At 45.4% G+C, this 17,034-nt stretch overlaps 1 protein-coding gene and 1 pseudogene across 6 annotated transcripts in view, besides 3 other annotated features; both read right to left on the reverse strand.

The window, feature by feature from the left end:
* The window catches only part of PDIA6 (protein disulfide isomerase family A member 6), a 54,322-nt gene that overhangs the window by 18,328 nt on the left and 18,960 nt on the right, over positions 1–17,034 (reverse strand). For 3 of the 6 annotated variants that reach the window (NM_001282705.2, NM_001282706.2, NM_001282704.2), the window contains one exon: positions 781–922. In NM_001282705.2, the coding sequence (NP_001269634.1) occupies positions 781–922 (142 nt within the window). Of the gene's footprint in view, positions 1–780; positions 923–8,524; positions 8,703–10,959; positions 11,068–17,034 lie in introns of those variants that run through there. The other 3 variants (XM_011510308.2, NM_005742.4, NM_001282707.2) reach the window with 2 other exon arrangements.
* Positions 8,974–9,083: an enhancer, noted in NCBI's record as "active region_15312". NCBI's record gives its function as "activates an Ori minimal core promoter by ATAC-STARR-seq in GM12878 lymphoblastoid cells {active_cell/tissue: GM12878}" and the evidence as "EXISTENCE:reporter gene assay evidence [ECO:0000049][PMID:35858748]".
* Positions 10,070–10,129: an enhancer, noted in NCBI's record as "active region_15313". NCBI's record gives its function as "activates an Ori minimal core promoter by ATAC-STARR-seq in GM12878 lymphoblastoid cells {active_cell/tissue: GM12878}" and the evidence as "EXISTENCE:reporter gene assay evidence [ECO:0000049][PMID:35858748]".
* Positions 10,620–11,369: a silencer, noted in NCBI's record as "silent region_11166". NCBI's record gives its function as "represses an Ori minimal core promoter by ATAC-STARR-seq in GM12878 lymphoblastoid cells {active_cell/tissue: GM12878}" and the evidence as "EXISTENCE:reporter gene assay evidence [ECO:0000049][PMID:35858748]".
* On the reverse strand, positions 13,767–13,828 carry RNU7-176P (RNA, U7 small nuclear 176 pseudogene; annotated as a pseudogene).

The following is a 17,034-nucleotide window of genomic DNA, read 5'->3' on the forward strand; positions in this document are numbered from 1 at the left end:
GTGGTTAGTTTCTAAAACTTAGTTTCAAAGAAAAAAGTTAAAGTGAGAAAGGAAAAAGTTTCATCAGGCATACCCTAAAATGTACCCATCAGGTTCTAATATCCCTCACTTAAGCTTACAAAGCCTTGTTCACATGTCAAAGGACTCCTTGGGATTTCAGATAACCACACAGTTCTTCACAGACACACAGCTGGCTAGGGTTTGGTTCTCCTCTCAGGATACTTGTGGCCTGCTGGTTTACAGCAGAGACAGCCTCATATACATCTTGCACAGTTTCCACTCTTCTATTTGGTGTTTTTTTGCATTAAATGCTTTAATCACACAAATAACTAGTGCAATGTTGTACTTTTGACTGTATATAATTTTGTGCTGTTAGTTTCAATGGTGATTACATTTTTACCCCACAAGGGTTCTTCCAGCATTGAATGTAAGGTAAGAAAAGAATTTTTAAATTAAACCAGATTTTCTAACTACATTTTTTCAGGAAATAATTCTCTTCAAGAAACAGAGTGAAGTTAATCACTGGCCCCTCCATTTTCTTTGCTCAAGATTCCTTCCTCATAAAAGCAGTTTTCCTTCCACACGCATCACCTCATCAAAAGACAGATCTTCCTTAACAACAGACTAGATACTTTGCATTTCCCATTTCCCTCTTCTCTACTTCTTTTAAACAAACACTAAGCTAAACTAGATGTCTTAATAAAATCAGATTTTTATACAGCGTTTTCTCCAATTTCAGAAAGTACTATAAATAATCTACAACTATTTTATAATACTTACCATGGAGCATAGAATTCTACAAGCCACAAACTATCACTCTGAATAACTTCTCGGTTGAAATTCGATGGAGTTAATTCGATCACATCATCACTAGAGGAATACAGACCATTCACTGCCAGAAAGAAGGTACAGCTCACCAGACCTGAAGATAAAAACAAAAGTGCACCATTAACAGCACTGTTCATGCTTTGACTGGAAACCCTGGGGAACCAGAGTCCTCTTTAACTGACCAGGGCCCTTCACACAGGAGGACGGCCTAGCTCTGGCCCCTCTGCCCTTCCTGCTGCAGTTGGAGCCCCTGGAATTTCACTCCCATTGCTGCAACGCTGAGCAAGAAAGGAACGGACGGTCCCCACTCCCACTCCTTGGGCTGCACTGGAAAAAGGCTGAAGCATTATTCTTAGTGGCTTTCATGTATCAACGTCTTTGTTCTTTACAACCGCTCCATGAGGCAGTACTACTGTCATTTTATGGCATGGACGCTGAAAAATTGGGAGGTCACTTCTGCCTGTGTAACCCTGGGCAATCACGTAGTAATCATTCCTCATGTTATTCAGTTGCAATTATTAGCACATTATCTTTATTCAAATATATTTTTGAAGGGAAAATAATTATTGTCTCTTCCACTAGATTGTGACTCTTTCAAGGGCAATGGTAATTTATTTATTTATATTTTGAGACGGAGTTTCGCTCTTGTTGCCCAGGCTGGAGTGCAATGGCATGATCTTGGCTCACCACAACCTCCGCCTCCCAGGTTCAAGCAATTCTCCTGCTTCAGCCTCCCAAGTAGCTGGGATTACAGGCATGTGCCATCACGCCCGGCTAATTTTGTATTTTTAATAGAGACAGGGTTTCTCCATGTTGGTCAGGCTGGTCTCGAACTCCTGACCTCAGGTGATCCGCCTGCCTCGGCCTCCCAAAGTGCTGGGATTACAGGCATGAGCCATGGCGCCCAGCCAATGTTTATTTTTATAAATAGTTTTATTTCTCTTAATACTATCCATAACACATTATCAGAAACACTGTTCGTGTGAACAACCTTATAAAGACAGGATACAGTGTCGACTGTATTGCTGACCACACAGTTCTGCCACATTGTGGATCAAGAGCATTTTCATTAGCAACTCTGGAAACTTACATGCAATTTACAACAATAATTTAGGAAAACAAATTCTGAACTTACTAGTATCTTAAGAACCCAAAAGTTCTCTGAAATGGCATTACTATCAAAATTTCACCTTTTAAATTTACATATACAGTCACATCCACAGGGTCAAGGAGAGAACACATATATGAGGGTGGTCCTGTGGATTATAATGGAGCTTAAAAAATCCTATCACCTTGTGATGCCTTGATAACTCTGACCCTGAGTAGACCTAGGCTAATGTGCGTGTTTGTGTCCTAGTTTTTGTGTTTTTTTTTTTTTTTGAGACAGAGTCTTGCTCTGTCACCCAGGCTGGAGTGCATTGGCGCTATCTCGGCTCACTGCAAGCTCTGCCACCCGGGTTCACGCCATTCTCCTGCCTCAACCTCCTGAGTAACCGGGACTACAGGCGCCTGCCACCACGCCTGGCTAATTTTTTGTATTTTTAGTAGAGATGGGGTTTCACTGTGTTAGCCAGGATGGTCTCGATCTCCTGACCTTGTGATCCGCCCGCCTCGGCCTCCCAAAGTGCTGGGATTACAGGCGTGAGCCACCGTGCCCGGCCCTGTGTCCTAGTTTTTGACAAAAAAGTTTAAAAAACTAAAACAAACTTTAAAAACGAAAAAAACCTACGTTTTCTTCTAGGGTTTTTATGGTTTTAGGTCTAACGTTTAAGTCTTTAATCCATCTTGAATTGATTTTTGTATAAGGTGTAAGGAAGGGATCCAGTTTCAGCTTTCTACATATGGCTAGGCAGTTTTCCCAGCACCATTTATTAAATAGGGATTCCTTTCCCCATTGCTTGTTTTTCTCAGGTTTGTCAAAGATCAGATAGTTGTAGACAGGCAGCGTTATTTCTGAGGGCTCTGTTCTGTTCCATTGATCTATATCTCTGTTTTGGTACCAGTACCATGCTGTTTTGGTTACTGTAGCCTTGTAGTATAGTTTGAAGTCAGGTAGTGTGATGCCTCCAGCTTTGTTCTTTTGGCTTAGGATTGCTTTGGCGATGCGGGCTCTTTTTTGGTTCCATATGAACTTTAAAGTAGTTTTTTCCAATTCTGTGAAGAAAGTCATTGGTAGCTTTATGGGGATGGCATTGAATCTGTAAATTACCTTGGGCAGTATGGCCATTTTCACGATATTGATTCTTCCTACCCATGAGCATGGAATGTTCTTCCATTTGTTTGTATCCTCTTTTATTTCCTTGAGCAGTGGTTTGTAGTTCTCCTTGAAGAGGTCCTTCACATCCCTTGTAAGTTGGATTCCTAGGTATTTTATTCTCTTTGAAGCAATTGTGAATGGGAGTTCACTCATGATTTGGCTCTCTGTCTGTTGTTGGTGTATAAGAATGCTTGTGATTTTTGTACATTGATTTTGTATCCAAAAGCAATGGCAACAAAAGACAAAATTGACAAATGGATCTAATTAAACTAAAGAGCTTCTGCACAGCAAAAGAAACTACCATCAGAGTGAACAGGCAACCTACAAAATGGGAGAAAATTTTCGCAACCTACTCATCTGACAAAGGGCTAATATCCAGAATCTACAATGAACTCAGACAAATTTACAAGAAAAAAACAAACAACCCCATCAAAAAGTGGGCGAAGGACATGAACAGACACTTCTCAAAAGAAGACATTTATGCAGCCAAAAAACACATGAAAAAATGCTCATCATCACTGGCCATCAGAGAAATGCAAATCAAAACCACAATGAGATACCATCTCACACCAGTTAGAATGGCAATCATTAAAAAGTCAGGAAACAACAGGTGCTGGAGAGGATGTGGAGAAATAGGAACACTTTTACACTGTTGGTGGGACTGTAAACTAGTTCAACCATTGTGGAAGTCAGTGTGGCGATTCCTCAGGGATCTAGAACTGGAAATACCATTTGACCCAACCATCCCATTACTGGGTATATACCCAAAGGACTATAAATCATGCTGCTATAAAGACACATGCACATGTATGTTTATTGCGGCATTATTCACAATAGCAAAGACTTGGAACCAACCCAAATGTCCAACAATGATAGACTGGATTAAGAAAATGTGGCACATATACAGCATGGAATACTATGCAGCCATAAAAAATGATGAGTTCATGTCCTTTGTAGGGACATGGATGAAATTGGAAATCATCATTCTCAGTAAACTATTGCAAGAACAAAAAACCAAACACCGCATATTCTCACTCATAGGTGGGAATTGAACAATGAGATCACATGGACACAGGAAGGGGAATATCACACTCTGGGGACTGTTGTGGGGTGGGGGGAGGGGGGAGGGATAGCATCGGGAGATATACCTAATGCTAGATGAGGAGTTAGTGGGTGCAGTGCACCAGCATGGCACATGTACCCTAAAACTTAAAGTATAATTAAAAAAAAAAAAAAAAAAACGAAAAAAACCTTACAGAATACGGATATAAAAGAAAATACTGGCCAGGTGCTATGGGTCATGCTTGTAATCCCAGCACTTTGGGAGGCCAAGGCAGGCAGATCGCTTGAGCTCAGGAATTCAAGACCAGCCTGGGCAACATAGTGAGACCCCCTCTCTAAAAAAAGTACAAAAATTAGCCAGGCATGGTGGTGCATGCCTATAGTCCTAGCTACTCGAGAGGCTGAGGTGGGAGGATCACTGAGCCCAGGGAGGTCGAGGCTACGGGTGCAGTGGGCTGTGATGCACCACTCACTCCAGCCTGATAGGGCAAGACCTTGTCTCAAAAAAAAAAAAAAAAGAGAGAAAATATTTTTGTACTGCTGTTTTGTATAATGCGTTTTAAGGTAAGTGTTTTTACAAGAGCCAAAAAGTTAAAAAAAAAAAATTAAGTTTAGAAAGTAAAATGTTGACCAGATGCCATGGCTCACACCTATAATCCCAACACTTTGGAGGCCAAAGTGGGAGGACTGCTTGAGGCCAGCAGTTCAAAACCAGGCTGGCCAACACAGAATAGCAAAACCACATCTCCTAAAAAATAAAGACAGAAAGAAAGAAAGAAAGAAAAACGTTACAGTAAATTAAGGTTAATCTATTATCCAAGAAATAAAATTTTTAGAGCAACCCCCAGTCATGCAAGCTGCATTCACGGTAAATGTCCTGTACAGGTGTACTATTTTAATCTTTTATATCATATTTTTACTGCACCCTTTCTATGTTTAGATACACAAATGCTTGCCATTGTGTTACAACTGCATACAATATTCAGTACAGTAACATGCCGAACAGATTTATAACCTAAGAGAAATAAGCTATACCATGTAGCCTAGGTTTTTAGTAAGTTATGCCATCTAGGTTTGTATTAAGTACACACTGATGTTATTCACAATGAAGAAATCGTCTGATACAATAGCAATTAAAGAAATTTCTATTCCTGTCTTTTCAGCATCTCTGAAGTTGATCATAATTCAGATCACGTCTCTAATGTTAAGCAACACATGACAATATACAAAAATTTGCTGATTACCTCTAGAACAAGGTAAATAATGGAATATCCTCAGACTATTCTTGACTTCAACAAGGTTTTCCTATTTGCATCATGCTGGCTTTTGGATTGAAATAAATACACTTTTTAATTTTTTTTGAGAGAGGGTCTTGATCTGTCACCCAGACTGGAGTGCAATGGTGCAAACACAGCTCCCTGCAGCAGCCCTGACCTCCTGGGCTCAAGTGATCCTCCCACCTCAGCACCCCCAGTAGCTGGGACTACAGGTGCATCCCTGGCTAACTTTTAAATTTTTTGTAGAGACAGGGTCTCCCTGTGTTGCCCAGGCTGGTCTCAAGTGATCCTCCTGCCTCTGCCTCCCAAAGTGCTGGGATTACAGGTATGAGTGACCACGCCAGGCCAAAATGTACTTACAATGTTAACGAAATTTCTATCTATTCCTGTCTTTTCAGCATCTCTGAAGTTGATCATATCATTTCTTCCTTTTAATTTGTTGATATAGCAAATTATAAGTGAGACTGGCCTGTGTTCTCAAGTAGTGTGTGTACATGCCATCTTAGTTACATTTTCACATGCTTGCTTCACAATTAGAATTTGGAAGATTTCAAATGGACCTTTTTGGAATAACTAAATGGTACACTTTTTCTGGAAGGAGTGTACACCATTGTTCATTGTTTTACTGCTAAATCCTCCATCATACAACACGTTCAATTTTTCAAATCACTATCAAATGTTAGATCACTTAATTTTTGACAGCATTACTAACTAGAAAGTAGGACTTATCCCCATTTTGTAAATAAAGGTCTAGACCAAATGGCCCATCTATGGTCATACATATAAGGGGCAGGGCAGCTCTCCATTTCCAAGCTTTTCCTATTACACCATGCTGTCTTTTTAGTGCTCAAGATAAAGTGGTTCTGTACGCTATAGGTATGAATGAACAATTATGGTATTCAAGATTTACACTGCATTTGAATCACAGATATAGCCAATACTGTAAGAACTTATAAAACTGTTAATTTTACTAATAGTGAAGCCACTAAAGGGTTATCATTCAGAGGAAAGAATAGATTTATGCTTTCTAGAAGGAGTATTCCAGTTGCCATGTGGAAGGTGGATTGGGAGAATTATCCAGAGTGGTGTCACATAAACCAAGATACATGTGGAAGGGGCCACACTAACAAATGCTACTGGGAGATAAAGTAGCAAAGACTTAAAACCATCTACTGATTGGATTTAGTGACAAAGAAGTCACTGGGAGCCCTGGCAGTTGTGGTGGAGTGAAAATAACAGGCATGCAGTCTGCAGAAGGTTGGAGAGAATATAGGTAACTCTTTAAGCAGGTTTCATTATAGAGACCAGAGGCAGGCAAATGTAGAAAACAAGGAAGGTTTTCTTTGAAGATGGGAGTGATCTAGGAGAGGAAGACATATGCAGTGGGAGAGGCCAAAGATAAAATACAGGGAGTATCTGAATAAAATGCCCAGAGTCAGAAGAGGAGCGGGAACCCAGTCAGTGATGGAGTAGCCTTTGATAGGATGATCTCCTTTTCCATTTCAAGAGGTGGGAAAGGATGCCTGTGAATGGATGCCAGGCTAACCAAAGCGGGGCTGCTCTCTCAGTAACAGGTTATCCAGCATGATAGCCACTAGCTACATGTGGCTACCCCAAACTAAGATATGCTGGTAAAAACACACTGAATTCTGAAGACTTAATGGAGGGAAAAATGTAATCTCATTATTTTTCTTTTTTTTTGAGACGGCGTCTCACTCAGCTGCCCAGGCTGGAGTGCAGTGGTGCAATCTTGGCTCACTGCAACCACTGTCTCCTGGGTTCAAGCGATTCTCCCGTCTCAGGATTACAGGCATCAGCCATCATGCCCGGCTAATTTTTGTATTTTAGTAGAGATGGGGTTTCACCATGTTGGCCAGGCTGGTCTTGAACTCCTGACCTCAGGTGATCCGCCCACCTTGGCCTCCCAAAGTGCGAGGATTACAGGCGTGAGCCACCGTGCCCGGCCTCAATATTATTTTTCATTTTGAAAACACATGTTTAAATGATCTTAGATATACTCAGTAAATATATTAATTTCACCTGTTTCTTTTGGCCATTTTAAATGTAGCTACTAGAAAATTTAAAATTACATATATGTTTGCATTATATTTCTATTGGATGGCACTGCTCATTAATCTTTTCACTGCTGCAGAAAAGGTGAAGTAGAGTTTGACACGTTTAACAAAGCCAAGTAAATCAAGAACATAAGCACTGACAGTCCTAACTCTGAATAAGCTTGAAAGTAAGACTAAGGCTGGGTGTGGTGGCTTAGGCCTGTAATCCCAGAACTTTGGGAGGATGAGGCGGGTGGATAACCTGAGCCAGGAGTTTGAGACCAGCCTGGGCAACATGGCAAAACTCCATCTCTTGTAGAGAAAAAATATGAAATACAAAAATGCAAAAATTAGCTCGGTATGGTAGGGTGCATCTGTAGCCGCAGCTACTCCAGAGGCTGATGTGGGAGGATTGCTTGAGCCTGGGAGGCAGAGCAAGACCCGGTCTCAAAAAAAAAAAAAAAAAAAAAAAAAAACCCAAAAAATAGGATAATCTTCTACAGAGATGTACTACTTTTAAAGAACTTTATCTTTTTTGTAAAATCGATATGAATTTGGTACTTGCTCAGTACACTGAGCCTATTGTGAAATTTTCAAAAATGGAAAAGCAAAAGAGTAAGTTACAGATATTTTCTACTTAAGAATTTTAAAATTACTCCAATGTAACCATTTTTAATGGCTGAACCATTTAGTCAATCCACTACTGACTGAATTTTGATTGTTTCCAGTTTTTCACTAACAGCCCAGCAGGGAAAATTCTTATATTTTCCTCCTCCCCTCAAACTAGTATGACTGTTTCAAGAGAAATTCTTATAAGAGAGATCTGGGAGTATGGCTAACATTCTGAGATACCTGTCACACTATGCTCCAGAAACTGGGGTCTTTATTTCTGGCGAGACAAAACAGTAACACTTGCGTGACTCTGTATCAGGCATTTTTCTAAACATTTTGCATATATTAAGTCATTTAAGAACCCTATGTGGTATGTGTCATGGTGCCCATTATTTCACAGACCAGGAAACTTTAACACAGAAAGGATAACTTACCTAAGATCATATAATTAGATAGACCCAAATTTCTAACCGAAGGGCTGGAGAATGCAGGGGTATAATCCACAGAGCATCATTAGGTAGACTGTGGCAGAATTAGGTACTTTCACTTCTCTTTGCCAATCAAGGACAGCAATAACGTCAGTCCTCTCCTCTTCATGCTGTTACAAGCAGGCTGCAGTCACCAGAACAGACCAGGGTTTTTCACCTTAGGAATGTCCTTCCCTTTCCGTATAAAGACGCTCTTTACTGACAGTATTAAGATAGACTTGGGTTATTCTTTTTTCTAGTAATGGTGAGGGACCTTTGTTTGTCTTTAAATTTTGCCTAGTTCTCACAAGAGCCTCCTCTGCTTGTACACGGCTACCCAATGAAAATGCTGTGTTGATTAAGGTTTGAGACTAAAATTCCTAAAAAGGCAATGTGACCTAGCAGGGTTACAAGGAAACCTAACATACTACTGAGAAAGAACAGACAAAAGATGTGGACATTCTGAATGCATAAAAGTAGCCAACAACTACCTCCAACCCCCAAGAACACAAAAAACCCTGGGCTCACTTAAGATGACAAAGTAGGTCAATGCTGACCAATGACGTTCTGTTTCTAAAATTCACATCACCATTCCACTCAGTGATAATGAACACCAATGGGAAATTGGACCATCCGAGTGAGTGTCTAGAATCTCTGTGAGCAGATGGCTCTGCCATCTGTGGTTTTCCATTCCTCCATGGCAGTTAAGGATGCTATAAATTCACATCAGTAACATCTCTGTCCCACATCTGCTAGGAGGAGTCTACAGTCCCAGAGCAGTCATCTAGAAACCATGAGGTTTCCCAGAAAGGCTGCCATTTATTAAAATGAGTTAATTAATAGACTCACGGACTCTTTCAGGGTCTAGTCTGAATTCACTCACAGGAAACTAAACAGACTAAACTCTTTTCCCCTCATCTACTCTCTCCACAGTAATATGGCAAATATTTACATCTCTTTAAAACATGTACTAGCTGGGCCAGGTGACTGACACTTGTAATCCCAGGATTTTGGGAGGTTGAGGAAGGAGGATCACTCGAGGCCAGGAGTTTGAGACCAACCTGAGCAATACAATGAGACCCTGACTCTACAAAAAATTTAAAAATTAGCCAGGTGTGGTGGCATGTGCCTGGATCCCTTGAGACCAGGAGTTCCAGGCTGCAGTGAACTATGATGGAAACCCTGCACTCCAGCCTAGGAGACAGAGCAAGACCGTGTCTCAAAAAACAGAAAGACATGTACTAACTCATTAATCCTCAGGACAACCCTAAGGGAGTACTATTATCAGTCCCTAAAATGGTGAACACCGTTGAAAAGGCACTGGCACAGAGTGGTTAAGTAACTTGCTCCAAGTCACAGAGCCAGTAAATAGGGGGAAGGTGGTCTGAGGCCAGAGCCGAGGTTAAGGACTGTCAGAGCCAAGGCTGTGACCAAGGCGAGCCCGGCAAGGACAGGACCCTCGGCCTCGCCCACTAAGAAGCAGACATTTACAGAATTCCTAAGACGCCGCGTTCCATTTCGTTTTTAAGGAGTCCGATCACATGCGAAGCGCCCCTGCGTCTTAAGCCCAGCTTTTGGAAGGCACTGTCCCTTTCTAAGGGAACTATGGGTCCTTATTTCAGGACTGAGATTTAACATTTCAGTTTTTCGTTTCTGAGACAGAGTTTCACTCTTGTTGCCCAGGCTGGAGTGGCGCGATCTCGGCTCACTGCAACCTCCGCCTCCTGGGGGTTCAGGAGATTCTCCTGCCTCAGCCTTCTGAGTAGCTGGGATCACTGGCGCGCGACACCACGCCCGACTAATTTTGTATTTTTAGTAGAGACGGGGTTTCGCCATGTTGGTCAGGCTGGTCTCGAACTCCTGACCTCAGATGATCCACCCGCTTCGGCCTTCCAAAGTGCTGGGATTACAGGTGTGAGCCACCGCGCCCGGCTTAACATTTCAGTTTTTAAAAGTAGGAGCTGCATAAAGCAGGTGGCAGAAACAAGCAGCAGTGCAGGACGCCCGCCAACCTCCGTCCCCACGCACGAGTTCGAGAAGAGCCCGGAACAAGCTCCCCTGCGACTCTCCGGGAATACAGACCCCCTCCCCGGGATCCGGCCGGGGCTGGGCTCCGCGGCTCTCCCGCCCGGCCCTGGACCCCGCGCCCGGCTCCAGCGCACGAGGCTCCCGCCCCCCGCGGCTGCGGAAGCCCCTCCCCACGGGCGCCCGAGTCTCCCGCGCACCCGCACCTCCGCCGGGGCAACCTAGCAGCTCCTCCGGACGCCGAGGCCCGCGCCTCCCGCCCGCCAGGCCCACTTCCGGCCGCCTGCGGCCGCGGCCCGCCGGGGAACGGCCTAGAGATTCGAAACCTTTCAGGCCGACCCCAGCTCGCCCGCCTCCCTCCGCTGGCCCGCACCTACCGAGCACCAGGAGAGCCATGCCGAGCGCCGGGCTACGTGCAGTCCCCACCGCCGCCGCCGCTTCAGCCCTGCAGCGTGCCGCACGCCGCGCCCCCGCGCCCACGTCCCGCCCCAGGCCAGTCCGGTGGTCCGAGGGGCGGCCGCGCGGGGGCGGGCCGGAAGGCGCTCGCCAAGCCGTGGCTGCGGCTCATTGGTCCGGGCGGACATCGCTCACTCACATATCCAATGGGAGGCGGCCGGGTAGAGGTTACCGGTTTGGTTTTTTTTCACGGGGGCGGTGGCGAGCAGCGGAAGGCGGGGCCTGCTGGGGGCGGGGCTGGCAGTCTCGGCTCGCACCGCCTCAGCTCCTCCGGGCCCTCTCGGGGTGCTGCTCGGAGGGGAGTCCAGTACTGGGCGTTTTTACCTTAGTTCCTTATTCTGCACCCCCCCACCCCGCCTCCTCCTTGCCTGTGTGCGCCCCCACCCTCTTTATCCCGGGGGAGCGTGACTCGGCCTCAGGGCACCCACGGTCCTGGGAGCTGACAGGGAATTCCTCTTGTGCCCGACGAATATTCCGTGGACACACATTTGCTCCGCACGCGCTGTCTGCAATGTAATTCGACAAGTTTCTATTTTGTTGAATTACTTTTGAAAGTTCTTCCGTCCAGGGCGCATGGCTCTGCAGAGCCTTCTCCTCCTTCTCTGGAGAACCCCAGGGACTTAAGCGGTAGCCTCCTCGCTGACAGGGTCTCCACTTTGTCCTGGGGGGCGAGGGGGCTGGCAATGCGCTCACGTGGGTGTGTGCTTTGTAAAATATGCAAAAGTGAAAAAAAATATGTTTGTGGGGCAGGCTGGCGAGCAGTGGCATGATACAGTTCACTGCAGCCTTGAACTCCTGGGCTGCAGTGAGCCTCCTGCCTCGGCCTCCCAAAGTGCTGGGATCACAGGCATGGGCCACCACGCCCGGCAAAAGTAAAAATTTTTTTGCTTTTTTTTGAGATGGAGTTTTGCCCTTGTTGCCCAGGCTGGAGTGCAAAGGCGGGGTCTTGGCTCACTGCAACCTCTGCCTCCCGGGTTCAAGCGATTCTCTTGCCTCAGCTTCCCGAGAAGCTGGGATGACAGGTGCATGTCACCACGCCCGGCTAATTTTTGTATTTTTAGCAGAGACAGGGTTTCTCTTGCCTCAGCTTCCCGAGAAGCTGGGATGACAGGTGCATGTCACCACGCCCGGCTAATTTTTGTATTTTTAGCAGAGACAGGGTTTCTCCATATTGGCCAGGCTGGTCTCGAACTCCCGACCTCAGGTGATCCGCCTGCTTCGGCCTCCCAAAATGCTAGGATTACAGTTGTGAGCCACCACGCCCGACCTAAAAGTAAAATCTTTCAAGCACAAGTTAAGACCACTGTATCTTTCCGCCTTGATTCTCCCTCCTATGTTTGGAGTGGACTCGGACATTTTGTTTTTGTATTAGTAATTTCTCCATATTGTAGTGTGTAAGGCATAAGTATTCTTAGGCAGGGGTCCAGGAGTGGTGGGGGCCGGCTGGTGGGCTTCCTGGAGGAAGTGGCACTAGAGCTGCGTTTGGAAGATTTTTCAGGCAAACTGAACTCAGAGGCACAGCAGCCCTCTGAAGTCACGGGGGCCTCTCCTGGAAGCCACATGCCAGCATTGATTTTCCCCAGGGAGGCTGCTTGTCCCGGGACAGAAATCCTCAGCTTGGTACCCCGGGCAGCTCCTCCTGAATGTGAAGGTGCGTGGGAAGCCCAACCGGTGATCGCAGGGCTGTTTGGGATTCACAGCAAAGGGCAGTGGACTGCGAGCCTGTTCCTCCAGGCCTGTCTGCTTTCCCTGAAGGGCGCCTGAGGGGCAATGAATGCTGTTTGTTTTTCTGACCCCTTTCCTGCATTTGACACATTTCCCCCCTTAAATTTGCTGCTGTTGCTGACTGGATTACAGCGAAGTCCTTCCTTTTCCTCTCAGCCTGGAAAGTCATGCTTTTCCTCCCTGGATGGAGGAATTTAATTCTCTTACCAGAAGAGGGCCCCTTCATTTGTCTTTACATTAAGACAGTTAACTTTGTCCCCATGGGCCACAGACATCACAGCTTCCACAACGCACTCACGATCGAGTTTGTTTTCTCAGGGTTGTGAGTTGATCGCAGCCTCTCCAGGCCTGCTGTGTTTGGGTAGCAATCCTGCTTGGAACAGAACCCTCGAACTGCGGTGGCCCACACTGCCAGTGCCCTTTGTGTGCTGTGTGGTCTCTGTCCCAGTTGGCCTCAGGGCTGATCCTCGTGGAGAAAACAGAGGCCAGATCATAACTCCCTGCTAAATATCCCAGGTCACTGGCTGCTCTGGACCGTGGGCTGAATGCGCAGCTGCACGAGGCACACACCCCTGTGAAGCCCACTGTACAGGCACAGGCTTCGGGAAATGCACAGGCTTCTGGAAATGCACAGGCTTCTGGAAATGCACAGGCTTCTGGAAATGCACAGGCCTCCGGAAATGCACAGGCTTCTGGAAATGCACAGCCTTCTGGAAATGCACAGGCTTCCGGAAATGCACCAGGGCGTGTTGCTCATTTCTTTTTTCATTAAAACCAAATGCACATTAACAACCTAATTATACGAGCAACTGTCTCAGGCACAGTCACTGGCCCCAGGGAGCACACAGCCAACAGAGAGGCACGTTACACTGCGGTATTCCTCATGCTCTGACAAAGAGAAGCCCCTGGTACAGTGGAGCCCAGAGGAATAACTTCTTTTTTTTGTTTCTTCACTGTGGTAAAATATACATGCAGTTTTCCATTTCACACATTTTTGGGGGTGAGGGGGCTTCCAGTAAAAGCTGGAAAATCTGCTAGACAAATTCTAAATAAGCTGTAACACCCCCTTTTACTTTTTTTTTTGAGACAGTCTTGCTCTGTTGCCCAGGCTGGAGTGCAGTGGCGCAATCTCGGCTCACTGCAACCTCCACCTCTTGGGCTCAAGCGATTCTCCTGCTTCAGCCTCCCGAGTAGCTGGGACTACAGGTGCACATCACCATTGCCCAGCTAATTTTGTATTTTTAGTAGAGACGGGGTTTCACCACATTGGCCAGGCTGGTCTCGAACTCCTGACCTCATGTGATCCGCCTGCCTCGGCCTCCCAAGGTGCCGAGATTACAGGCATGAGCTACTGCGCCTGGTCAGCATCCATTTTTAAGTGTACAATTGAGTGGCATTAAATACATTCACAATGTTGTAGAACCATCCCCACTAATCATCTCTAGACCTTTTTTGTCACCTTAAACAGAACCTCTGTACCCATTAAGCAGTAACTCCCCCTTCCCTGCTGTCCCCAGCCCTGGTCACCTCTATTCAACTTTCTTTCTTTATGAATTTGGCTAATATAGGTACTTCATATAAGAGAAATCATTTGTCTTTTTTTTTTTTTTTTTTTTTTGAGATGGAGTTTCACTCTTGTTGCCCAGGCTGGAGTGCAGTGGTGCAATCTGGGCTCACTGCAACCTTTGCCTCCCGGGTTCAAGCTATTCTCCTGCCTCAGCCTCCCAAGTAGCTGGGATTACAGGCACCCACCACCATGTCCGGCTAATTTTTAAAATTTTTTTAGTAGAGAGGGTTTTCATCATGTTGGAGAGGCTGGTCTCGAACTCCCAGCCTCAGGGTGATCCACCCGTCTCGACCTCCCAAAGTGCTGGGATTATAGGCGTGGGCCACCATGCCCGGCCTGTATCATTTTTTTTTTTTTCAAAACACCATTTTCCTCTCTTTTTTACAGGCTCCAGCCTAGAGTCAGGTGTTGGGTTAAATTATCTTGTCTCTTCAGCCTCTATTCATTTGCAACATTTTCATGCCCTTTTTGTGCTTTCTTTTTTTTTTTTTTGGCATTGACACTTTGGAAGCACACAATTCCACCTCCCCACTTTTAAAAATACAGCATTTTTCATTTAGGTTTATCTGAAATTTTCTTGCGATTGGACTCAAGTCATGCCCTCTTGCCAGGAAGACCACATATGTGACTGGGATTTTTTTCTTTGTACAGCCTTCCTTTTTTCCGCAGTTATTTTGCTTCCCAAGATCAGAAGGTGAGCTTCTACTTCCTAGAATCATGTTGTAGCAGAGCTGAAGAAAGTCTCAGAGGACATGAATTCAACATTCTGTTTTGTTGGGGGCGGAGGGTGGAGGCGATGGGCAAGGGAGAGATGTCATGTGGCCTGCCCAAGACCCACACTGGGCATGTGCTTGGCACACTATAGGCTTTCAAGGAATGTCCTCATTCAACTTAGTTAATGACATATCAAAAGCCAGAACCCAAGTTCCTTGATGCCCACATTCAAGCTCTTTCCCCTAAAACCTACTGCCTCCTGTGAGATTTCTTTGACTACTGCAATCCTTCACCTTTGCCGTTCTTTGCCGACGCACACACACACACCCGTGGCTGCTCCAGCCCGCTAGGATCACTCTCCCTTTTTATTCCACTCAGGAAGCTTGTATGGTTTTTCATAAGTGAAAGTGATGTTATTAAAAGGCTAACCTTGATTACTCTCTAATTTAGTTAAAAGAGTAAGTGGTTTGCAGACATGAGTACTTTATGTTATTAGCAGCAAGTCACTTGCCCTGCCTCAGCAGCTGATGGTGACGCTGTTACAACACGGCAGGTAGAACTATGGCTGCAAACCCCCTGTGTCTAATTAAGGGACTCCCAGGTGCCTATTCTGAGTTCTAGTCACTCAGGTCATCTTTCTGGGTTAGAATAAAGAACTGTCCCCAAGCACCAGAGTTGAGAGTGACTCTTGTTTTAGGGCTTGTGGAAGAGACTGCAAGCAATGAAAATCAAAGTTGCAGATTCTGGAAATTCCTCCACAGTCGCAGAACTGCAGCCAGGTATATACTGCCTGCCACACTTCACCACACAGCTCCCCCGGTGGGCGCCCAAGGCCTTGCCAATGGAATGGGAGAGGAGGTGATAATCCCAACTGCTTAGCCAGGTCCTGTTCCTCTTCCACCAGGCGGAATTGTTGGACTTGGGGCACCCCAGCTTCTACCATGCAGACCCCCACAGGGACCTTGGGGCCACTGGAGCAGTGACAGGGAAGGAACCCAAGTCTAGAATGACCGGGAAGATCAGTGCCACCCTCCAACCTGGATGGCTCACCATGTAGCTGTTACTTTAGAGAGAAGATTCTATAGTTTTAGCCATTGTATTTTGGAATAACTTGCCACAGGAGTTTAGCTTGACTTTGACTAATACAGGGCTTAATGTTCTCAGGGTGAAGAATCTGGGCTAACGTACCCACAGAATGAACAGGGTAGATCCGACAGGGGACATGTACCTCTTCCTAGGGGTGCTCAGGAGACACACAGTGCTCCTCTCTGGACTTTCTCATTCATTCTGAGGTTCAGATCATAGGTAGAGTCGAGTCTTATTTTCAGTGGGGATAGGCAGATGAAGCCTTTTAAAAATACTGATAAAACGCACATAACATAAAATAAAATTTACCACTTTAACTTTTTTTTTTTTTTGAGACAGGGTCTCACTCTGTCACCCAGGCTGGAGTACAGTGGTGTGATCATAGCTCACTGCAGCCTCAACCTCCTAGTGTCAAGCAATCTTACCACCTCAGCCTCCCAAACAGCTGGACTACAGATGAAAGCCACAACACACCTGACTAATTTCTGTATTTTTTTTTTGTAGAGATGGGGTTTTACTATTTTGCCCAGGCTGGTCTCAACTCCTGGCCTCAAGTGATCTGCCCACCTCAGCCTCCCAAAGTGTTGGGATTACAGGCGTGAGCCACTGTGCCCAGCTCACTTTAACCATTTAATTTATTTATTTATTTATTTATTTATTTATTTATTTATTTATTTATTTATTTATTTTGAGATGGAGTTTTGCTCTTGTTGCCCAGGCTGGAGTGCAATTGCACTATCTCGACTCACTACAACCTCTGCCTCTGGGTTCAAGCGATTCTCCTTCCTCAGCCTCTTGAGTAGCTGGGATTACAGTCTTATGCCACCATGCCTAGCTAATTTTGTATTTTTTTTAGTAGAGATAGGGGTTTGCCATGTTGGTCAGGCTGGTCTCAAACTCCTGA

The sequence above is a fragment of the Homo sapiens genome, chromosome 2 (assembly GCF_000001405.40).
Source record: "Homo sapiens chromosome 2, GRCh38.p14 Primary Assembly".
NCBI lineage: Eukaryota > Metazoa > Chordata > Mammalia > Primates > Hominidae > Homo > Homo sapiens.